Source organism: Homo sapiens, chromosome 18, assembly GCF_000001405.40.
Source record: "Homo sapiens chromosome 18, GRCh38.p14 Primary Assembly".
In the NCBI taxonomy this organism is placed as follows: domain Eukaryota; kingdom Metazoa; phylum Chordata; class Mammalia; order Primates; family Hominidae; genus Homo; species Homo sapiens.
Window position 1 is genome coordinate 23,277,146 of NC_000018.10, and position 23,514 is coordinate 23,300,659.

The 23,514-nt window shown below is 47.8% G+C and overlaps 1 protein-coding gene across 23 annotated transcripts in view, besides 5 other annotated features; it reads right to left on the reverse strand.

Moving 5' to 3' along the window:
- The window catches only part of SLC35D4 (solute carrier family 35 member D4), a 199,440-nt gene that overhangs the window by 38,624 nt on the left and 137,302 nt on the right, over window positions 1-23,514 (reverse strand). For 18 of the 23 annotated variants that reach the window (NR_148382.2, NR_148384.2, NR_148383.2 and 15 more), the window contains one exon: window positions 18,868-20,922. The exons of 2 other annotated variants lie outside the window; for them this stretch is intronic. Coding sequence is in view for 12 of the 21 variants with exons in the window: in XM_047437900.1 (XP_047293856.1) it covers window positions 20,862-20,922 (61 nt within the window). In the remaining 9 variants the exon portion in view is untranslated. Of the gene's footprint in view, window positions 1-18,867; window positions 20,923-21,761; window positions 21,856-23,514 lie in introns of those variants that run through there. 3 more of the 23 variants (XR_001753290.3, XR_001753288.2, XM_047437891.1) reach the window with 2 other exon arrangements.
- Window positions 5,569-6,259: an enhancer, noted in NCBI's record as "H3K27ac-H3K4me1 hESC enhancer chr18:20862678-20863368 (GRCh37/hg19 assembly coordinates)". NCBI's record gives its function as "activates a minimal SCP1, AML or CMV promoter by ChIP-STARR-seq in naive H9 embryonic stem cells {active_cell/tissue: H9 hESC(naive)}" and the evidence as "EXISTENCE:reporter gene assay evidence [ECO:0000049][PMID:30033119]".
- Window positions 6,950-7,641: an enhancer, noted in NCBI's record as "OCT4-NANOG-H3K27ac-H3K4me1 hESC enhancer chr18:20864059-20864750 (GRCh37/hg19 assembly coordinates)". NCBI's record gives its function as "activates a minimal SCP1, AML or CMV promoter by ChIP-STARR-seq in naive H9 embryonic stem cells {active_cell/tissue: H9 hESC(naive)}" and the evidence as "EXISTENCE:reporter gene assay evidence [ECO:0000049][PMID:30033119]".
- Window positions 7,642-8,331: an enhancer, noted in NCBI's record as "NANOG-H3K27ac-H3K4me1 hESC enhancer chr18:20864751-20865440 (GRCh37/hg19 assembly coordinates)". NCBI's record gives its function as "activates a minimal SCP1, AML or CMV promoter by ChIP-STARR-seq in primed H9 embryonic stem cells {active_cell/tissue: H9 hESC(primed)}" and the evidence as "EXISTENCE:reporter gene assay evidence [ECO:0000049][PMID:30033119]".
- Window positions 12,365-12,977: an enhancer, noted in NCBI's record as "OCT4-NANOG-H3K27ac-H3K4me1 hESC enhancer chr18:20869474-20870086 (GRCh37/hg19 assembly coordinates)". NCBI's record gives its function as "activates a minimal SCP1, AML or CMV promoter by ChIP-STARR-seq in naive H9 embryonic stem cells {active_cell/tissue: H9 hESC(naive)}" and the evidence as "EXISTENCE:reporter gene assay evidence [ECO:0000049][PMID:30033119]".
- Window positions 12,978-13,590: an enhancer, noted in NCBI's record as "H3K27ac-H3K4me1 hESC enhancer chr18:20870087-20870699 (GRCh37/hg19 assembly coordinates)". NCBI's record gives its function as "activates a minimal SCP1, AML or CMV promoter by ChIP-STARR-seq in naive H9 embryonic stem cells {active_cell/tissue: H9 hESC(naive)}" and the evidence as "EXISTENCE:reporter gene assay evidence [ECO:0000049][PMID:30033119]".

Genomic DNA, 23,514 nt, shown 5'->3' on the forward strand with positions numbered 1-23,514 from the left:
TGGCTGTGTCCCCACCCAAATCTCATCTTGAATTGTACTGGCATAATTCCCACATGTTGGGGGAGGGACCCAGTGGGAGATAATTGAATCATGGGGGCGGTTTCACCCATACTGTTCTTGTGGTAGTGAATAAGTCTCATGAGATCTGATGGTATTATCAGAGGTTTCTGCTTTTACATCTTCCTCATTCTGTCTTTGCCTGCTGCCATCTATGTAAGATGGGACTTGCTCCTCTTTGCCTTCTACCATGATTGTGAGGCTTCTCCAGCCATGTGGAACTGTAAGTCCAATTAAACCTCTTTTGTAAATTTCCCAGTCTTGGGTATGTCTTTATCAGCAGCATGAAAACAGACTAATACAGATGGCCTTGGCTGGGAGGACTTAGCTCTGCTCCACATGGTCTCTCAAGCTTCAGCAGGCTAGTCTGGGCTTGTTCTCATGGTGGAAGCTGCCAAAGAAAAACTGCACCAGACAGAGTTAAACAGGCAAGGGAAACTTTATTCAAGACTACTGCAATAGGAGAGAGAGATTAAACTCAACTCTGGATACCACAGAGGTAACTAGGGATTTCTAGCCAACAGGCAGGGTGAAGGAGTCAATTTATCAAGAGGAACTTGTTAGGCATCAAGACTGGGGGTGATTTTTGCTAAACTGGCCTGGCAGAATTCTTGCTAAACTAGGTTGAGCAGGCCAAGGACAAGGCCTTGGGGCTCCGAGGAGGAGGGCTCAGAGGAGTCTGTCTAAAGTTGGATCAAAGATGGAGTCCTCATCAAAGCAGAAGTCCAATAGAACATGTGGAATATACAACACTTCTTAAGGTCTAGACTCCAAAACGGGCAGTACCACTTCTACTGTGTTTATTGGCCAAAGCAAGTCAGGAGGCTAGCCCAAGTCCAAGCAGTGGGGGAATGGCTTCATCACATTGCAAATGGCATGGGCACAGGGAAGGGAGGAAAAATGGGTCTATCTTTCCAATCAATTGATTTCCTACTCTCTTCTTGGGAAGACCCTCTTCCACTGATCAAAACCACTGGGCAGAATGTAGAGCCCCACATACTCCCGCAACCTGACTTATCTGGTGCCCTGGCTGAGTACAGAAGGCTGAACCCTCCCAGAAGGCGCCTGGAAGGGAATTGGAACCCACACAACCTAGGGACTACATGTGCTGATGAGGTTCTCAAGACCAAAAGAAGGCAGAGAATACAATGGGAGCTTAATGAACACAATGCATATAAGTCAGAGACTTGGTCTTTGGTAAAAGCAAAAGTCTGGCTTTCAGAAGTCAGTGTAGTGTCACACCAGGAGCAGAATAGCAATTTACTAGGAAGTGTAGTCATCAAACTATTCATGGCCATCATTTCCTGGGGGTTATAATCCTATATTTCCTGGGAGCTATAATTACTGTAACCCATCGTTTCTTAGGGGCTATAACTACTATAAATTAGTAATCAAACTAATAATGGCTGTCATTTCCGACAGGTGCTGAGGCTGGTGCTAAATGCTACGCGTGAAATCATGTCTAGCATGATCTAAGTAGCCATGGTATTATAACTCCCATTTTTATCATTAAGAAAATTAGGGCTGGGTGTGGAGACTCAAGCCTATAATCCAGCACTTTGGGAGGCCGAGGTGAAAGGATCGCTTGAGCTCAGGAGTTCGAGGCCAGCCTGGGCAACATGGTGAGATCTCAACTCTACTAAAATTAAAACGAAAAAAATATTAGCCGGGTGTGGTGGGGCTCACCTGTGGTAACAGCTACTCAGAGGCTGGGTTGGGAGGATTGCTTGAGCCTGGGAGTTTGAGGCTGCCGTGAGCTGTGACTGTGCCACTGCACTCCAGCTTGGGTGACAGAGCAAGACCCCATCTCAAAAAAAAAAAAAAAAATTAAAAAAGAAGAAAAGGAGAAAGGGTTGGAGGTGGGTCGTCTGGCTGATCTGGCAGTGCCTTTGTCTTCACAGAGATTCAGGCTCCTTCAGCTTCTGCTCCACTATCCTTAGACCACAGCTTCCAACTTCAAACTTGCCTCAAGGCCCAAGATGGATGCTAGAACTCTAGCTATCACATCTTCAAATCCAGGTGAGAAGCAGGAAGAAGATAGAGAAAAGGGCCTCTTCTACCTATCTGAGACTCTTCTACGCAACTGTCCCCAACATCTCCCCCATCAACTTCTGCTTATATCTCATCAGTCAGAACTTGTTCATATAAACAGCATGGGCTGCAAGGGATGCTGGGAAAGGCAATCTGTTAGCTGGATACATAGCCTCTTAAATAAAATCAGACTTCTGCTACTGAGTGCTATGAGTCCCCTAAAAATATATGCTGGAGTCCTAACTCCCAGTACCTCCGAATGTGACCTTATTTGGAGATAAGGTCTTTATGGAGGTAATCAAGTTAAAATGAGGTCCTTAAGGTGGAAACCTAGTTCTATGAAGGGGAAAATAGGACACAGATACAGGCACACAGAGAAGGAAGACAACATGAAGACACAGGGAGGAAACAGACATCTACAAGGCAAGGAGACAAGCCTGGAAAGACCCCTCCCTCACAGACCTCAGAAGGAATTAGCCCTGCTGAGGCCTTGAATTTAGACTGTCAGCCTCCAGAACTGTAGTAATAATAAATTTCTGTTGTTATATAGAGAGACATATATATGTGTAAAATATATTTAATATCTCACACACACACATATATACATATATACACACACATACACACACATGTATTTTTTCCCCTTAAATAGAGACAGGATCTTACTATGTCTGTTGCCCAGGCTAGTCTTGAACTCCTGGGCTCAAGCGATCCTCCCACCTTGGCCTCCTAAAGTGCTGGGATTACAGGTGTGAGTCACTGCGCCCAGTCAATTTCTGTTGTTGAAGCTACCAAGTTTATAGTTCTTTGTTACGGCAGCCCTAGGAAATGAATCCATTCAGGAAGAGGAAGAAGTGCATGCTGATAAGCAATGGGCATTTGTGCACAGGGCCCAGAGCCATGCACCAGACCCTGCACTGCAGGCAGCGGGGCTGAGCTTGTGCTTGCAGACGGGCCTCGGCTGGGGTGGGCGTGTGTGCGCGCAGCCGACTGCACAGGTGGGGACCAAGCCCAGCACAAGCAGACTGCTTTCTGAGACCTCTGTCCATTGGGTCTGCTCCTGCCCTGGGGCGAGGTTATTAACGGTCTCCACTGTGAGACCAAGGCTGTGGCTGGGTACTGAGGCTGAGGCCGGCAGCTGTCAGGGCCACTCTCCACTCTGTCCCCTGGTTCCCTTCCTCATGTCCTGTGTGCACCTGAATCTGTCCTGTCAGAGTGGCTTCCTCTACCAGCCATATCTGTAATCTTCTGCCAGGAGAGAACGCTTCCCTAGAGTGGATATTTCAGAAGTAGTTGCTACACACGTGAACACGATACAACAATTTTGACTTGGCTGTATCTTCAAGATCTTTGGGGAGAAGAGGACAGCTGCCAAGAGCTGAAAGCTTAAAGTGGGGCCACCTCACAGTGCTGACCACTTTACTCTCCCCTGTCCAACTTCACCACAAAATGGAACCCGGACCCTTTATTCCCCAAAGCACAGGCCACAGGCAACAGGAGACTGTTGTGCATAACAGACTGTACTAAAGGCCTGAGGATAACATAGGGCAGTAGCTGAAAAATAAAACTTAAACCTGGCCACCAGGTTTCTGGAAGAGTGTTGACCATGCCCCCCCGTCTCCTCTTCTGGAGCTCCCTCACCTATCTCCAGCTTCCAGGGTCCCTGAGTCCCACCCCCAATTTTTCCATGCCCTGCGTGGAGGACTCCCACCCACGCCTCTCCCCACCCCCAGGTAGGGAAGGCAGCTTTTAATAGAGGTACATGAACCACTTAAAAACCTCAGCCTAACACAAAAGCCCACACATTGCACAATCCCGTGCATATGAAATCTCCAGAACAGGCCAATCCATAGAGACAGAAAGTGGATTTGTGGCTGCCTAGGTCAGTGGAGGGGAGGAGGGTGGGATGACAATGGGTATGGGGGTTCTTTTTGAGGTGAAGAAAATGTTCTACAATTAGATAGTGATAACGGTTGCAGAATTCTGTGAATACACTAAAAACTACTGAATTTAAAGTGTACTGAATTGTACACTTCAAATGGGTACATCTTAGGGCATGTGAATTATATTTCTATGAAGCTGTTATTTATTTATTTTACTTTTTTTTGAGACAAGATCTTGTTCTGTCACCCAGGATGGAGTGCAGTGGCACAAACAGAGCTCACTGCAGCCTTGACCTCCTGGACTTGACTGATCCTCCCACCTCAGCCTCCCAAATAGCTGGGACCACAGGCGTGCACAACCACGCCCAACTAATTTTTTTATTTTTATTTTTAGTAGAAACGGAGTTTCACCAGGTTACCCAGACGCCTTGAACTCCTGAGCTCAAGCAATCTGCCTGCCGTGGCCTCCCCAAATGCTGAGATTACAGGAGTGAGCCACCATGCCTGGCCAAAGCTGTTATTTTTTAAAAATCTCTGTGTGTCTAAGAAGACACAGGGCCTCCCTGAGAACAGGGAGCGTGTGTTTGCTTTAAGTCTACAATCACAAAGAAAGTCACCAGAGTTGTTTCTGCCAGAACCAGAGAGATTTTGCCTCGAGGACAACTCAGTGCAATGGGCCTGCAGCCTCCAGCAACAGGAGTGGCTGCTTTGGCCAGGTGGCAGAACAGCCCTCCTAGACAAAGCAGAGACGTCTGTAACAAAGACCAGCACCCAGTGGGCATCCAATCTGTATCTGATGAAAGAAGGAATGAGGAAATAAATGAACGGCTGATTGTAATCACTTTCCAGGATAGTGAGAATGCCTGGGACAGAACCCTGGTTCCATCTCCCACTTAGAGGAGCCCTTTTCATTAACAGCTCCACTTAACTTCTATTTGCCATGCAAATCAACTGGCCCAGGTGAGTGGTGCCTGCACTGACTCCTGAAATCCCAAGGGCCTCCGCGGCTCCCCGAGGCTCAATCAGGGCACGAAGACACATGTGCAGACACTTTGCCTTTGCTAATCCTGCGGGCCTTTCACAGAGAGCAGGAAATCAATGACTCAAATATTCCTTTTGCCTCAGGCAACTGCTTAAATGAGACTTTACCCTCTGCTGCCAAGGAAGTTGGGTGGCAGGGGAGTTCCTTCAGACTCCCCCCCAGTTGATCCTGGATAGAACTGGCCTAGGTTTATATGCCATTGTTTGTTTTACTAACGGTAAACCACTGCGAGTCCGGCCACTGAAAATCAGCTGACAGCAGGAGCAAAGATTCGCTCGGCTCACTGGGGAGCACGGAATGTCTGCCATCTCTGAGATGTTTCCAGAATAGAGGGAGCCTTGTGCAAGCCGCAGAATGGCTTGGCCTCCCCAGTGGTTTGCTGTTGGGTCCGAGGATCCGGAGCTGCCCTGCAGGCAGCCAACGCCTGGGCCAAGCACCAGTACCCTGGGGCCCCCAAGTGAGGGCTGTCTGTGGGGAGCTTGTCTCCTCTGGTTTGTCCACAACCCAGTGACCCCAGGGTAGGGGTGGGAGTGGGGGGCAATGCCCAGGAACAACTTGGCACATGGGGAGGTGAGAGGGAGGGCTGGTTTTGGAAGCCGCTTTAGAATCTTGGCTTAGAAATGCAGAATGCATGACCCTGGGGAAGTGTCCTGCCCTGTCAGGGGCTCGCAGGCCTCATCTGTGTGCTGGCCCCTTAAGGGTCATGAGTAGGTGACATACAGATAGGGGGCACCTGCACTGTGCATGGTGGGTGCTGTAAATCAAAAATAACATCCTAAGCCCTCCAACTGACTGAGGGGACCCCCGAGAAACCTGAGAAACTGAATTCCCAGCCATGGCTGGAAAAGAGGTCTGACACACCTTGTTATACCCCCTACCTTTTGGAATTCAGGTGTAACTGACCAGCATTCACATTAAAACAGAGATTGTAATGTTACCAGACAGGGGTCCTCATCCAGACTCCAAGAGGGTGTTCTTGGACATCACGCAAAAAATAATTCGGGGCAAGTGCATAAAGTGAAAGCAAGTTTAAGAAAGTAAAGGAAGGCCGGGCGTAGTGGCTCACACCTGTAACCCCAGTACTTTGGGAGGCCAACGTGGGAGGATTGCTTGAGCTCAGGAGTTGGAGACCAGCCTGAGTGAGACCCTATCCCTACAAAAAAAATACAAAAATTAGCCAGGCATGGTGGTGCATGTCCCAGCTACTCAGGAGGCTGAGGTGGGAGGATCGCTTGAGCTGGGGAGGTTGAAGCTGCAGTGAGCCGAGACTGCACCACTGCTCCAGCCTGGACAACACAGAGAGACCCAGTCTCAAAAAAAAAAAAAAAAAAAAAAGAAAGAAAGAAAAGAAAAGAAAGAAAAGAAAGTAGGCTAGGCACAGTGGCTCACGCCTCTAATCCCAGCACTTTGGGAGGCTGAGGTGGGCGGATCACCTGAGGTCAGGAGTTCGAGTCCAGTCCGACCAACCTGGAGAAACCCCGTCTCTACTAAAAATACAAAATTAGCCAGGTGTGGTGGCGCATGCCTGTAATCCCAGCTACTCAGGAGGCTGAGGCAGGAGAATCACTTGAGCCTGGGAGGCGGAGGTTGCATTGAGTCAAGATTGTGCCACTGCACTCCAGCCTGGGAGACAGAGCAAGACTCCATCTCAAAAAAAAAAAAAAAGGAAAGGAATAAAAGAATGGCTACTCCATAGACAGAGCAGTGGTATGGGCTGCTCAACTGAGTATACTTATAGTTACTTCTTGATTATATGCTAAACAAAAGGTGGATTATTCATGAGTCTTTCAGGAAAGAGATGGGCAATTCCCCCAGCACTGAAGGTTCCTCCCCTTTTAGACCATATAGGGTAACTTCCTGACGTTGCCATTGCATTTGTAAACTGTCACAGTGCTGGTGAGAGTGTGTTTTAGCATGCTAATGTATTATAATTAGAGTATAACGAGCAGTGAGGACAACCAAAGGTCACTTTCATTGCCACCTTGGTTTTGGTGGGTTTTGGTCAGCTTCTTTACAGCATCCTGTCTAATCAATAAAGTCCTTGTGACCTGTATCTTGTGCTGCCCTCCTGACTCATCCTGTGACTAAGAATGCCTGGCCTCCTGGGAATGTACCCAGTAGGTGAAAGAGAATAGACTTTCACCATCTATTCTCTCTGAAGCCTGCTACCTATGAGGCTTCATCTACATAACAAGAATCTGGACCCCCACAATTCCCCTTATCTTAATGCAAGCATTTCTTTCTACTGACTTCAAGTCTTGGGACAAAGCTTAACTCTTTCAACGGGTTGCCAATCAGAAAATCTTTGAATCTACCTATGACCTGTAAGTCCCTGCTCCGAGTTGTCCTACCTTTCTGGTCAAACCAATGAATACCTCCCATGTACTGGTTTTTATCTTTGCCTGTAACATCTGTCTCCCTATAATGTATATAAAACCAAACTGTAACCCAACTGCCTTGGGATCGCTTTCTCAGGACCCCTTGAGGCTGCTCCCAAGGCCTAGTCACTCATATTGACTCAGAATAAACCTCTTTAAAACATTTTACAGAGTTTGGTTTTTCCATTAACCACACTGGCAAATGTTATTTCCCGTCCCTACACTCAATCATACCCCTGGCTGGTGCCACCTACCTTCCCTCTCATTCCTGGAACATGATTGGTCTTCTCCACCTCTGACTTGGTCCTGTCTACTCAGCCTTTCCAAACCCCAGCCTCCTGTTGGGGAGGCAGAATGCTGTGAGAGTTAAGAGGCAGGGGATGCGTGGGCAGGTGGCCCCTCTAGCCAGCCAAGGACCTTCAGGAAGGTGCTGACCTCCTGTGTCTGTCTCCTCAACAAAATGATACTGATACTGTCAGACCTCTGAGCCTAAGCTAAGCCATCATATCCCCTGTGACCTGCACACATCCAGACTTCACCCTTAGTGGCAAGTCCTGCTTTTCTGGGGGAGGGGCAGGAGCCCTGACCTCTTATCTCTGTGCCCCGATCCCTTATTTCCGCACCCCGACCTCTTATCTGTGCCCCAACCCCTTATTTCCATGCCCCGACCCCTGTCCTGCTTTTCTGGAGGGTAAGAACCCCTGAACCCCTTCCCTCCATGTCTCTACCCTTCTCTTTAAACTTGCCTCCTTCACTATAGGCAACCTTCCACCTTCCATTCCTCCTTCTTCTCCCTTAGCCTGTGTTCTTAAGAACTTAAAACCTCTTCAACTCTCGCCTGACCTAAAATCTAAGCGTCTTATTTTCTTCTGAAATGCCGCTTGACCCCGAGACAAACTGGACAGTAGTTCCAAATAGCCAGAAAACGGCACTTTCAATTTTTCCATCCTACAAGTTCTAAATAATTCTTGTCGTAAAATGGGCAAATGGTCTGAGGTGCATGACGTCCAGGCTTTCTTTTACACATCAGGCCGTCCCTAGTCTCTGTTCCCAATGCAACTTGTCCCAAATCTTCCTTCTTTCCCTTCCGCCTGTCCCCTCAGTCCCAACCCCAAACGTCGCTGAGTCTTTCTAATCTTCCTTTTCTACAGACCTATCTGACCTCTCCCCTCCTCCCCAGGCTAAGTCCCAATTCTTCCTCAGCCTCCGCTTCTCCACCCTATAATCCTTTTATCACCTCCCCTCCTCACACCGGGTCCGGCTTACGGTTTCATTCCATGACTAGCCCTCCCCCACCCGCCCAGCAATTTCCTCTTAAAAAGGTGGCTGGAGCTAAAGGCATAGTCAAGGTTAATGCTCCTTTTTCTTTATCCCAAATCAGACGGCGTTTAGGCTCTTTTTCATCAAATATAAAAATCCAGCCCCGTTCATGGCTCGTTTGGCAGCAACCCTGAGACGCTTTACAGCCCTAGACCCTAAAAGGTCAAAAGGCCGTCTTATTCTCAATATACATTTTATTACCCAATCTGCTCTCAACATTAAATAAAACTCCAAAAATTAAATTCTGGCCCTCAAACCCTACAACAGGACTTAATTAACCTCGCCTTCAAGTGTACAATAATAGAGGCAGCCAAACAGAAACATATTTCTGAGTTGCAATTCCTTGCCTCCACTGTGAGACAAACCCCAGCCACATCTCCAGCACACAAGAACTTCCAAACACCTAAACCGCAGTGGCCAGGCATTCCTCCAGAACCGCCTCCCCCAGGAGCTTGCTACAAGTGCCAGAAATCTGGCCACCAGGCCAAGGAATGCCCGCAGCCCAGGATTCCTCCTAAGCTGTGTCCCATCTGTGCAGGACCCCACTGGAAATCGGATGGAAATCGGACTCTTCAACTCACCTGGCAGCCACTCCCAGAGTCCCTGGGACTCTGGCCCAAGGCTCTCTGACTGACTCCTTCCCAGATCTTCTCAGCTTAGCGGCTGAAGACTGATGCTGCCCGATCGCCTCGGAAGCCCCGTAGACCATCACGGATGCCGAGCTTCAGGTAACTCTCACAGTGGAGGGTAAGTCCGTCCCCTTCTTAATCAATATGGAGGCTACCCACTCCACGTTACCTTCTTTTCAAGGGCCTGTTTCCCTTGCCTCCATAACTGTTGTAGGTATTGACGGCCAGGCTTCTAAACCTCTTAAAACTCCCCAACTCTGGTGCCAACTTAGACAATACTCTTTTAAGCACTCCTTTTAGTTATCCCCACCTGCCCAGTTCCCTTATTAGGCCGAGACACTTTAACTAAATTATCTGCTTCCCTGACTATTCCTGGATTACAGCTGCATCTCATTGCCGCCCTTCTTCCCAATCCAAAGCCTCCTTTGCGTCCTCCTCTTGTATCCCCCCACCTTAACCCACAAGTATAAGATACCTCTACTCCCTCCTTGGCGACTGATCATGCACCCCTTACCATCTCCTTAAAACCTAATCACCCTTACCCCGCTCAATACCAATATCCCATCCCACAGCATGCTTTGAAAGGATTAAAGCCTGTTATCACTCGCCTGCTACAGCATGGCCTTTTAAAGCCTATAAACTCTCCTTACAATTCCCCCATTTTACCTGTCCTAAAACCAGACAAGCCTTACTAGTTCAGGATCTATGACTTATCAACCAAATTGTTTTGCCTATCCACCCCGTGGTGCCAAACCCATATACTCTCCTATCCTCAATACCTCCCTCCACAATCCATTATTCTGTTCTGGATCTCAAACATGCTTTCTTTACTATTCCTTTGCACCCTTCATCCCAGCCTCTCTTCGCTTTCACTTGGACTGACCCTGACACCCATCAGGCTCAGCAAATTACCTGGGCTGTACTGCTGCAAAGCTTCACAGACAGCCCCCATTACTTCAGTCAAGCCCAAATTTCTTCCTTATCTGTTAGCTATCTCAGCATAATTTTCATAAAAACACACTTGCTCTCCCTGCTGATCATGTCCGACTAATCTCCCAAACCCCAATCCCTTCCAAAACAACAACTCCTTTCCTTCCTGGGCATGGTTGGATACTTTCGCCTTTGGATACCTGGTTTTGCCATCCTAACAAAACCATTACATAAACTCACAAAAGGAAACCTAGCTGACCCCATAGATCCTAAATCTTTTCCCCACTCCTCTTTCCATTCCTTGAAGACAGCTTTAGAGACTGCCCCCACCCTAGCTCTCCCTGACTCATCGCAACCCTTTTCATTACACACAGCCGAAGTGCAGAGCTGTGCAGTCAGAATTCTTACACAAGGACCGGGGTCGCGTCCTGTAGCCTTTTTGTCCAAACAACTTGACCTTACTGTTTTAGGCTGGCCATCATGTCTCCATGCAGCGGCTGCTGCCCCGCTAATACTCTTAGAGGCCCTTAAAATCACAAACTATGCTCAACTCACCCTCTACAGCTCTCATAATTTCCAAAGTATATTTTCTTCCTCACACCTGAAGCATATACTTTCTGCTCCCCTGCTCCTTCAGCTGTACTCACTCTTTGTTGAGTCTCCCACAATTACTATTGTTCCTGGCCTGGACTTCAATCTGGCCTCCCACATTATTCCTGATACCACACCTGACCCTCATGACTGCATCTCTTTGATCCACCTGACGTTCACCCCATTTCCCCACATTTCCTTCTTTCCTGTTCCTCACCCTGATCACACCTGGTTTATCGATGGCAGTTCCACCAGGCCTAATCGCCACACACCAGCAAAGGCAGGCTATGCTATAGTACAAGCCACTAGCCCGCCTCTTAGAACCTCTCATTTCCTTTCCATCGTGGAAATCTATCCTCAAGGAAATAACTTCTCAGTGTTCCATCTGCTATTCTACTACTCAAGGATTATTCAGGCCCCGTCCCTTCCCTACACATCAAGCCCAGGGATTTGCCCCTGCCCAGGACTGGCAAATTTGCCATTCTACTACTCCTCAAGGATTATTCAGGCCCCCTCCCTTCCCTACGCATCAAGCTCAGGGATTTGCCCCCCCGCCCCAGGACTGGCAAATTAGCTTTACTCAACATGCCCCGAGTCAGGAAACTAAAATACCTCTTGGTCTAGGTAGACACTTCCACTGGATAGGTAGAGGCCTTTCCCACAGGGTCTAAGAAGGCCACCACGGTCATTTCTTCCCTCTGTCAGACATAATTCCTCGGTATGGCCTTCCCACCTTTATACAGTCCGATAGCAGACCGGCCTTTATTAGTCAAATCAGCCAAGCAGGTTTTCAGGCTCTTGGTATTCAGTGAAACCTTTATATCCCTTATGGTCCTGAGTCTTCAGGGAAGGTAGAACGGACTAATGGTCTTTTAAAAACACACCTCACCAAGCTCAGCCACCAACTTAAAAAGGACAAGACAATAGTTTTACCACTTTCCCTTCTCAGAATTCAGGCCTGTCCTCGGAATGCTACAAGGTACAGCCCATTTAAGCTCCTGTACGGACGCTCCTTTTTATTAGGCCCCAGTCTCATCCCAGACACCAGACCAACTTAGACTGTGCCCCAAAAAACTTGTCATCCCTACTATTTTCTGTCTAGTCATACTCCTATTCACTGTTCTCAACTACTCATACATGTCCTGCTCTTGTTTACACTGCCAGTTTACACTGTTTCTCCAAGCCATCACAGCTGATATCTCCTGGTGCTATCCCCAAACCTCCACTGTTAACTCTTAAAGTAAATAAATAATCTTTGCTGGCAGGACTATGCTGAATCTCCTTAGGCACTCTCTAATTAAATGTCCTAGGTCCTCCCAATTCTAAAACCTTTAATACCTCTTTTTCTCCTTCTCTTATTCCGTTTAGTTTTTCAATTCATACAAAACCATATCCAGGCCATCACCAATAATTCTAAATGACAAATGTTTCTTCTAACAATCCCACAATATCACCCCTTACCACAAAATCTTCCTTCAGCTTAATCTCTCCCACTCTAGGTTCCCACGCCATCCCTAATCCTGCTCAAAGCAGCCCTGAGAAACATTGCCCATTATCTCTCCATACCACCCCCAAAATTTTCACCATCTCAACACTTTACCACTATTTCATTTTATTTTTCTTATTAATATAAGAAGACAGGAATGCCAGGCCTCTGAGCCCAAGCTAAGCCATCATATCCCGTGACCTGCACACATCCAGATGGCCGGTTCCTGCCTTAACTGATGACATTCCACCACAAAAGAAGTGAAAATGGCCTGTTCCTGCCTTAACTGATGACATTATCTTGTGAAATTCCTTCTCCTGGCTCATCCTGGCTCAAAAGCTCCCCTACTGAGCACCTTGTGACCCCCACTCCTGCCTGCCAGAGAACAACCCCCCTTTTTCCTTTACCTACCCAAATCCTATAAAACGGCCCCACCCCTATCTCCCTTTGCTGACTCTCTTTTCGGACTCAGCCCGCCTGCACCCAGGTGAAATAAACAGCTTTATTGCTCACACAAAGCCTGTTTGGTGGTCTCTTCACATGGACGCGCATGAAAGATACACGTCCTCCATCAGAGGCCCCTGGAGAGTATGAAGTGAGATGCCGCGTGGGTGAAGCACAGCAGGCCCCAACCAGCCCGGTGATGGGCCACACAGCTGGAGAGTGCACCTTCCCTCCTGGCACTTCCTCAGCACCTCCCACACGTTTCATGCCCCTGAAATTAACCATGGGGTCTGTTTCAAATCTGCCTATCTTCTCTCCTGTGCCAGACTTAGAGCATCCCAGAGCCAGCCAGCAAGGGCCTGCCCAGGGCCAATGGGGGCCTGATTGCCCTGGCCTCCCAGAACCAGCTGCGGGGAAGGGGGTGGTGTCTGCCTGTGGGGCTCCTGGACTTTGCCCGTGTGTCCCCTAAAGCATATCTCACTCAGTTATCCTTCACCTGAAATCTACAGCCCAGAGAGGTCCTCAGACTTCAGGGAGAACAAATACCCCCAGACTATATGCTAAGTGGGTGTGTGTGATTCTGCATATTTTGGAAGAGAAATTCCTCATCTTCCATCAGCTCCTCAGGAGAATCCATCTTTGTCTCCCTTTTCTGCCTTATTACCTTAAAAGCATTTAACTCACTCTGAAATTCTTTTTTTTTTTTTTGAGATGGAGTCTCACTGTGTCGCCCACGCTGGAGTGCAATGGCGCATCCTTGACCCACTGCAACCTCCACTTCTTGGGTTCAAGCGATTCTCCTGCCTCAGCCTCTCAAGTAGCTGGGATTACAGGTGCCTGCCACCACACCCTGCTAATTTTTTTTTTTTTTTGTATTTTTTAGTAGAAACAGAGTTTCAACACATTGGCCAGGCTGGTCTCGAACTCCTGACCTCAGGTGATCCACCCGCCTCGGCCTCTGAAAGATCTGGGATTACAGGCATGAGCCACCACACCCGTCATTTTGAAATTCTATTCCCGTGTTTGTTCCTGTCTCTGCCACTAGAAAGTAAGTTCCAGGAGGGCTCATCTCATTCGTGGTTATATCCTCAGATCCTAAAACAGAGCCTGGCACTCAGTAGGTCTCAATATCTTTTGAATGAATGAATGACGTGCTTTGAGCCAATGGCTAAGGGCTGTGGGTCTTGCCCTGCAATGGGGTCTGAACAAGTCATGGACCGTCTGGGATCTTCCTCCGAAGACAGCGTCTGGGCTGAGGTCAGCTGCAGTGAAGAACAGTGCTCCTAGAATAAGAGTCTAGACAGGGGAGGGGCTCAGAGAGCCCAGACTGGATCTGCCTGAGAAGAACAGAGTTCAAGGGTCTCAGAGGACAGCCCACTTATGCTAGCATCTTGCAGAAAGGGCAGGACGGTGGGCCTCAGCTCTATTTTCTATTGTTGCATAACACGCTGTCCCAAAACTTAGTGGCTTAAAATGATTTTACCATATCTCATGCTTTTGTGGCAGGAATTCATTCAGGGACTGCTGGGCAGGGTGATTCTTCTGCCCCATGTGGCACTGACTGAGGTCACCTGATGGCACTCGGCTGGCAGATGGGCTGGTCTGGAGGACCTGGATAGCCTCCTTCGTGAGTTGAGTGGTTTGGCAAGCCAGCTGCAAGGCTGGGCTCAGTGGGGCCTGTCTCCTGGAGCACCCATGCCTGGCCTCTCCTGCACAACAGCTCAGGGCTCCTGAGGCTGTCAGAAGACCAAGGCAGACACTGCAAGGCTGCTTTGACCTGGCCTTGGGAGTCACATAGCACCATTTCCATCACACCTTATTGGCTACAGGTAAGTCGCAGAGCCAGCCCAGACCCAAGAGAAAGGAACAGAACTGTATAGCAGAATGAATACCACTGGGATGGAGGTGGGGCATCTTTGGAGACAAGCCACCACTGCTTCTCTCCGGGCTGGGCTCAGGGACACAGCCTGAAGCCAGGGACATTGGGTGGGGCCAGGAGAAGCCCAAAAGTCTCACCCCTTTGACTGGCTTCCCCCAGAACAAGGATCAAAGGACCATTAAGTAACTTCAAATGAGTCCCAGCCACTTGAACTTCCAGCCAATTCCATATCCTATTTCAATACTTTGTCCAAGGCAACTTCTCAATAGAGATGTCATGTTCCAAGTATGACTAACTGCTTATGGTATTACCTGCTTGTGCTTTCACCCCAATCTGTGACTGTACTCCCTTTTTTGGGCATGCAGACCCAGTGAAAAGAATGGTGTCCTCTCCTGACATTGTCTCTCAGGGTCTGGAAGCTTTTCCTTCAATCTTCGAGCTCCTCACCTATCTGAACATGCCATTGCCTGCAACCAAGCTTGAGAACCAACAAACAGTGGCTGCGGGTTCTGGAAACACGCAGAGTGATAGTTCAGGTGAGAGCAGTGCCATTTCCCCAGTGCTCCTGGTTGCTCCAACCCCATTCACGAAGAGTCTCAGACAGAACCTGAGGGAGGAGGCTGGGGAAAGAAACTGGGACACTCTGGGAAGGCAGCTGCAGTGCAGGCCACAGACCCTGCCCGGTGGCAAAGGGAAGGAGCATGGCCTTCAGGAAGAGTCACAAATCACCTCAGAGATGTGAGGAATCCACACCTCAGCACTTCTTGGAGAACTGACAACCCCTGTGAAACACGGGGACCTCATTTCTCCTTCTCAACAGAACTCTCTAGCATGAAGGTTGAAAGCATGGGCTTTGAATAACCTAGATTCGAGTCCCAGCTGGGTGGGCCTGGAAAAGTTACTGAGTCTTTCTGATCTCCTTGGTAAAATGAAGAGAATGTCCCCTGCACTACCATTGGGAAGAATCAATGACAGGGAGCCTGGAGAGTACCCAGCACAATGCTTGGCATGAAATAGGCACCAGTAACTATAATCTTAAATATTATTATTGGGTCAGTAACCCCAGCAACCACCACCAACACCCCCTTCTTTTGCCACTTCCCTGGGCCCAGTGTAGATGAACTGCTCTAAATCAGCAATAAGGCCAGGCGTGGTGGCTCACGCCTATAATCCCAGCACTTTGGGAGGCCGAGGTGGGCGGATCACTTGAAGTCAGGAGTTCGGGACCAGCCTGACCAATGTTGTGAAACCCCATCTCTACTAAAAAGAAAATACAAAAGTAGCCAGGCTTGGTGGTGCATGCCTGTAATCCCAGCTACTTGGGAGGCAGAGGCAGGAGAATCGCTTGAACCTGGGAGGTAGAGGTTGCAGTGAGCCGAGATCGCGCCATTGCACTCCAGCCTGGGTGACAAGAGCGAAACTCCATCTCAAAAATAAATGAATGAATGAATGAATATAAATCAGCCATGACCAACAGACATATCATGGGAGCCACATCTATAAACTAAAATTTTCTAGCAGCCACGTTACAAAAGGTAAAGGGAAACAGGAGAAAGTAATGTTGATAGTACATTTTATTTAGCCCAATATATAAAAAATATTATTTCAACATGTAATCAATAGAAAAATGATGTGATATTTTACATTCTTTTTAAAAAATATTAAGTCTTTGAAACCAGTGTGTTCTTACACTTACAGCCCATCTGAATTTGGCCCAACCACACTCCAGTGCTCCAAAGCCATAGATGGCCAGGGGCATCCACACTGGACAGCACAGGGCTAGAGGCACTGGGTGGGCCCTTCTCTATTTCAAGCTCAGTGGTCTGGATGTGGGCAGAAAGAGGAGTCTGGATCTGGGTTAAAGCTACAAGAACTCCCTCCCCAGGGTTAACACCAATATTTTCTGTAACACTCCCCTGCCGGTATTGAAGAGAACAGAAAGAAGGGCAAAGGAAAGAAAATAAACAATTTATTTTTCTTTTATTGTTATTTTTAGAGACAGAGTTTGGCTCTGTTGCCCAGGCTGGAGTGCAGTGGCACAGTCATGGCTCATTGCAACCTTGACCCCTGAGCTCAAGCAATCCTTCTGCCTCAGCCTCCTGAGTAGCTGGGACTTACAGGCGTGAGCCACCATGCCTGGCTAATTTTTATTTTTTATTTTTGTAGCGATGGAGGTTCACTGTGTTGCCCAGACTGGTCTCAAACTCCTGGGTTCAATCAATCCTCCCACCTCAGCCTCCTAAAGTGCTGGGATTACAGGCTTGAGCCACCGTGACTGGCCCTTATTTTTCTTTATATCCACAGCATATTAGTAATAATACACCATTGTACACAACCTTGCCTCTCCTAATAGAAAGCACGTTCTTTCTTTATAGAAATAAAAGAAAAAAACCCAAATCCCAAGGCTCTGACTGAGGTCCAGCAAGGATTAAGGTCATCAGGTACCAAACAGGATCCAAGGGTAAATAAAGGGAGAGTGTGGGCTTACCTGGAGACTCCCTAAGCAGAAAATGAGAGCTTGGGGCTACAGTGAGGGGGCCACTCCACTGTTCAGGTCTGTGGGCTCATCCTTCATTCAGCGCTGAGCACGTGAATTTGGGCATAGAAGATGGTGGTTAAAGCTTGAATAAAAAGGCCCAAGAACCAATAGAAACTGACGGAAACTGATAGCATACTGACAAAACACCTTATCCTCTGCCTCTTGCTGGTGTCAATGTAAGAAAAGATCTGAGATTTTAAGAACAACAGGCAGGGGGCAACATAGTGAGACCCCATCTCTACAAAGAATAAAAAATTAGCTGGGTGGAGTGGTACGTGCCTGTAGTCCCAGGCACTTGGGAGGCTGGGGTGGGAGGACTGCTTGAGCCTGGGAGGTTGAAGCTGCAGTGAGCTGTGACTGCACCACTGCACTCGAGCCTGGGTAACACAGTGAACCCCTATCTCAAGCAAACGAAACAAAACAACAAACAAACCAAAAAACAAAGAGGACTCTGAAAGGTGTTTCAAACAACCAAACGAAAACAAATACAGGCTTGCTAGAGAACTATTTGAAAAAGGATCTAAAACTTCTCAGCCAAAGCTTTTGGGGCCAGTTCTGCTGGAAAGAGGACTGGGTTTAAACTGCATGGCTCTTTGCAGTCATCAGAACCTCCATTTGCTTAAATGGCACTTGGAAAGACAGGTATAAAATGACACTTGGACAGATGCCACTTTCTGCAAGTGGAAAAGAACTGGTCTCCATTGTATAGAGTTTTACAGGAGCAAGAGAATAAGGACAATTCTAAACCCAGATTTTCTATTTGACCCTCAGTCTCTAGAAAGTTTGACATCCTAGATGAAGAACAAAAGTAAGTTGAACACGGACACAGAGAGAGGAACAACATACACCGGGCCTGTCGGGGGGTGGGGAGGGAGGGAGAATATTAGGAAAAATAGCCAATGCATGCTGGGCTTAATATCTAGGTGACTGGTGGATAGGTGCAGCAAACCACCACGGCACACATTTACCTACGTAACAAACCCGCACATGTACCCCAGAATTAAAAATAAAAAAAATTTAAATTAAAAAAGTAGAGACTCTTCAAAGTGAGAAGGTATGTCAGGCAGCTACTATTATTTTTCCTCCAAATTAATAAGTGTAAGGTACCTGTTTAATCAGCTGGAGGTTAGAAAAAAAATAATATAAATATTTTTCATGGAAACAAACAAGACAAAACAACAACAACAAAAGTAAGTTGAAAGCCATATGTGTTAAGGTCACTCTTAGCATTTTTACCTTACATGACAAGCAGAGACCAGGAAAAGACAAGGACATGAATTTAAGGTACTCAAGTTCCAAATACACGAATCCATTGCTAGTTGTTTCTTTTTCTCTCTTTTCTCAACAAGTTGGGGAACACATGCAGAGGCAACAACAGCCACCGACTGAGTTGACTATATTCTCCATGGGGCTGAGTATGGACAAGGCGTATTTCCCGGACGCCATGGGCAGGGGGTCTCCATCAATGACGTGGATATTCAACACTACAGGGCCTGGCTCCCTGCTTGCGGAGGACTCATGGGTCACCCTGAATGGCCCAAACTCTCTGATACCTGGCAGAGTGGTAAGGTATTTGAAACATCTATTAGGAACAGAAATATTTATAGTTAGTCATTATTTTCTTAAACCTTCTTGGTGGGTTCAGAAACAAGTGACCATTTTGTGTAAATTCATTTATTTTGGAGCAATGAGAACACATGGACATAGGGAGGGGAACATCACACACCAGGGCCTGTCAGGGGATGGAGGGCTAGGGGAGGGATAACATTAGGGGAAATACCTAATGTAGGTGACAGGTTGATGGGTGCAGCAAACCACCATGGCACGTGCATACCTATGTAACAAACCTGCACATTCTGCACGTGTACCCCAGAACTTAAAGTATAATAATAAAAAAAAGAAAAAAGAAGTTCATTTATTTTGACTCCTACAAAGGCAAGGAATAGGGTTTTTGTTGTTGTTGTTGTTTTTGAGACTGTCTCGCTCTGTTGCCCAGGCTGGAGTGCAGTGGCGTAATTTTGGCTCACTGCAACCTCCGCCTCCCAGGTTCAAGCAATTCTCCTACCTCAGCCTCCTAAGTAGCTGGGACTACAGGCACACAACACCACATCAGGCTAATTTTTTTGTAGTTTTAGTAGAGACAGGGTTTCACCATGTTGGCCAGGTTTGTCTTGAACTCCCGACCTCAGGTGATCTGCTTACTTCGGCCTCCCAAAGTGCTGGGATTATAGGCGTGAGCCACTGCGCCTGACCAGGAATAGGGTTTTAATACAATTTTTCATCTGGCCTGAAAAATATACTTCAGTGTTCAATGATTTGAAATCTCTGAGATATCAGGGAATGAAAGGGATTAAAAGCTTTAAGAAATATAAATATAAATGTGTATGTGTGTGTGTATACATATACTATTTTTTTTTTTTTTGCCCAGGGAAGACATCTGTCAGTGCTCATAAACCCTGTTTCCTCTGGGGATAAGTTAGTACCAGCTTAACCTGAGGGTGGGCAAAAAAAGGACATGCAGAATTCAACGCAACACACATCCTGACAAGTTTATAAGGACCACGAGAAGTTTAGAGGCAGGAAATAAATAGTAACACCAACCATAAAAAGGCTGTCACTCACTCTAGAGTTTAAAATGCTCGTACGCAGGTGGCGGTGGGCCTTAGGCAAGCCAGCATGACAGCAAAGAAAGGACGGACCCAGAGGAGACTCCAAGGATGTAAAAACATGAATGAAACAAAACATACAACCAAGCCTCACCACAAAAATGACAACCGTGTGAGGTAATGCATTTGTGAGCTAGATTTAACCATTCCCAAAGCATTGTGTTGTGCGTGATAAATGCGCACTGTTACGTCTGTCAATTTAAAAATAAAAATGAGAAAGGCCGGGTGCAGTGGCTCATGCCTGTAATCTCAATACTTTGAGGCCAAGGTGGGAGGATTGCTTGAGCCCAGGAGTTTGAGACCAGCCTGGCCAACACAGTGAGATCCCCATCTCTAAAATAATAAAAATAGAAAAAATGAGACGGGTCTGGTGGTGCACATCAGCTACTGTGGATGCTGAGGCAGGAGGATGGCTTGATCCTAGGAGGTCAAGGCTGTAGCGAGCTGTGATCGCACCACTGTGCTTCAGCCTAGGCGATAGAGTGAGGCCTTGTCTCTAAAAAATAATAATAAATAAAAATTTAAAATTTTAAAAATGAAAAAAAAAAAAGACAACCAAACCCCTTAGGCCCACTACCTTGCACTGAAAGCAGTGTTTGGGAGAGAGCATGTGGCATCCAGAGGTGTGAAGCTCAGTCGAGGCGAGCAGAGCCAGCCCATGAAATCCTGTACTTCCTGTTTCTGCAGAACCAGCTACAGCACGGTTGAGAGAGGTTCTCCAAATGGGAAGATGTAACAGACCGCTCCTCTGCAGTGACCTGCAGACCCCCAGAAAGGGTGCTCCTTGAAGCACCAGGGCCTCGGCCTCATCAGCCACCACCACATTCACTTGGGTGAGGGTGATGGCACTGCCCACCTGGCCTCACTGTCCTTGCATTCCTCTTTCTGACACATCCAACAGGGAGCTATGAGACCAGGGGCTCGTACACAGGTGTACAAGCTGTTCTCCCGCAGCAGCCTGTGAGTCTTTCTCTTGACCGTCTTGTTCAGGAGCTCTTCCGCTCTGAGAAAACCAGCAAGGCCTCTCCAAGCGCACCGAGCAGGAGGCTGCAAACAACAGCAGAAGGTCAGCTCTCCACTCCCCCGGGACCCCTGAGCTGCCTGGCGCCCACATACGCAGGGCAAGGGGTGCTTCCCCTCATCCTGCAACTGAGACTCATCACCAGCCCGAACTGCCATGCTTCCAGGTCAAGCCCAGGAATCGCTCCTATCCCTCAGGGCAGACCTCAGGTACACATGGGAGGTGAGAAGGCAGGGAGGCGGGCTCGATACCTTCCCTTGGGGAAGAAGGTGAAGCGTCCCACACATCCTGACCAGGTGAGGATGATGCACTGGGTTAGTGCTCTCTGGCAGAAACACAGACTTCTGGCAGGAGAGATCCCATAGAGGCCTCTGGTGCTGTTGGCAAATTGGGCTGATGGATAGGAAATCACACAGGTATCCACACTCTTAAAATTAAGGTGACAATCTCAGTTTTCATTTCATTTAAACTACAGAACATTTAAAGGTGAAAATACAAGTGGGGAATCATAATTTTCCCACCAGCACAGAAAGAAACATGGCCAGTGATCTGAAATGAAAAAGCAGTGGGAGAACTGGAGACAGAGAGGGAAGAAGAGCTGAATATTTTAACATGCCTCTAATGTAATACAGCCAAAGTCCTCTCCACTTTCTATTTTGAACCTCGCCGTAGACAGTCTGGTGACTATCTGAATCCCGTTAGTCTTCTGGGGCCTGTGCTGGGCCATCACCAAGGGACTATGGTGGTAGGTCTCTGATGGGGAGGGCCCCTTTTTCAGAGGTGCCAGCAGCCCGTTTGGTCAGACCCTTTCCTTCCCTTCCTCTCTCATCTGCCTACCCAACACCCCAGCCCTTCATACGCTCACCTGCAACACACGCCCAGGCCACGGCGCCTTCGCACCTTGAACGTTTGGGGTGCTGAGTGTATGACACACACATAGGCTGTTCACGCTACATACCCTGTGAAAAATGTTCCTTTGGTGGGTGACCCTGACATACAGGTAACTCACACCATTTTCCACTTTAGCATAGGAATGAACTGACTATGAGTGAGAATATAAAAACCATATGTTTTAGAATCAGGCCAATTCAAGCTCTGGCGCAGGCATTTGTTAGTCAGGTGATCTTGCGTACGTTTTCAGCCTTAGTCTCTCCATCTGTACCACAGGAGATGATCGCATCTAACAGTCTCTGTGAGGCTTAGAAATAATACATCAGCAGCAACCCACCCCTGTGTTTAGCCTATGATGGACAATCACTAAGACAGGATTACTATTATTTTCCAGCCGACTGCCCTCTGAGAGTAGCAATCCCCTCCTCAGTGGTCCTCCCGGTGGGCCACCCAACTTCTGCCTGAAGATGTCTAGTGAGGGGCACGTCCTGTTGAGCAAGGCAAGCCTGTCCCATGGATGAGTGGCTTTGGTCACCGGATTCACATGCGTCTCCATGGGCATCTCACTTGTGGAAGCCACTGGGGTTGGCGGGGACTGACTGAGACATGTTCCTTCCCCACGCTGACCCAGGCAGCTCTTCATCACACTAACTCTACAGCAGTAATTTCTTACAACCCCGCCCACGAGGCCAAAGCTGCTCTCCGGAGCAAGAGAGAACAAATGTACTCCTTCCTCAGCTTAGAGACTGGGAGAATCCCCCAAACACCGTGATCTCCCCTCTCTGGTGATTAAAGGCCTCTGGGGGAAGGCAGCAGGAGACACTGGTCAGTCAGGTTGAGGGGCTTAGAGGATGTCCCCCACTTGGTTCACAATGGGGATGGAGGAGAGGGAGCCGAGGGAGACTGATGCCTAGTACCTTACTCCAAGTTGGGATGTACTTTCCTCTTTCCTACAGAAATAAAACTATAACAGTGAAACTAAGTTGATCGTTCCTATTTAACTCACAAGAATGTAGCTGTTACGAATGTCCATGTTATGAACCAAATGACTATCTGTGGACCTCCCTAGATCTGTAATCATCATTGTCAGCACTGTCTCCGTGAGAAATTGTGACCCAAGTTCCCAACGACCCTATTTGGGAACGAGGCCGCTTTGTGAAGCTGGGAGCCTGCTTGTCCCTTGTCCAGCTCAGGACCCCAGATGCTGAGGGGTTCTATCACCTCTCCTCTTTGGAAAAGACATGACTGTGAAAGGGAGGCGTTCTTTTTGCACGCAGGCTCACCTCCAAAGACCTGGCTTTTCCTTTTAAGTGACTGCCGTTCCCCTTGTAGCCCTTCAAGAGCATGTATGCCACCCTGCCAAGTTCCCAGGCAATGCAGAGTCACCACGACCGGATGCAAGGGCTGCACGGAGCTTTGGGTTTGGGAGGGTTTTATTTCTGCAAATGTAACCAGGGGCTCGGACATTTTATACACTTTCCACTAATCCTCCTTAATCACCAGGGAGAAAACCAGGGTAGCAGCTGGCCCCTTGCCACTTTTACTCCCATAACCTTAGAAAAATGCTGGAGTATAATAACCTTGCATTATGTCCCTTGGCCTGAACTACTTTATGAAACACCAAAGCAGCTTAGTAAATACTAAAAATGAAAACAAACCTTGGTTCGGTTTACTGTTAGGAGAGCCAGGGAGGTGAGCTTTGATGTTGTTTTCTAAACAGCAGGAAA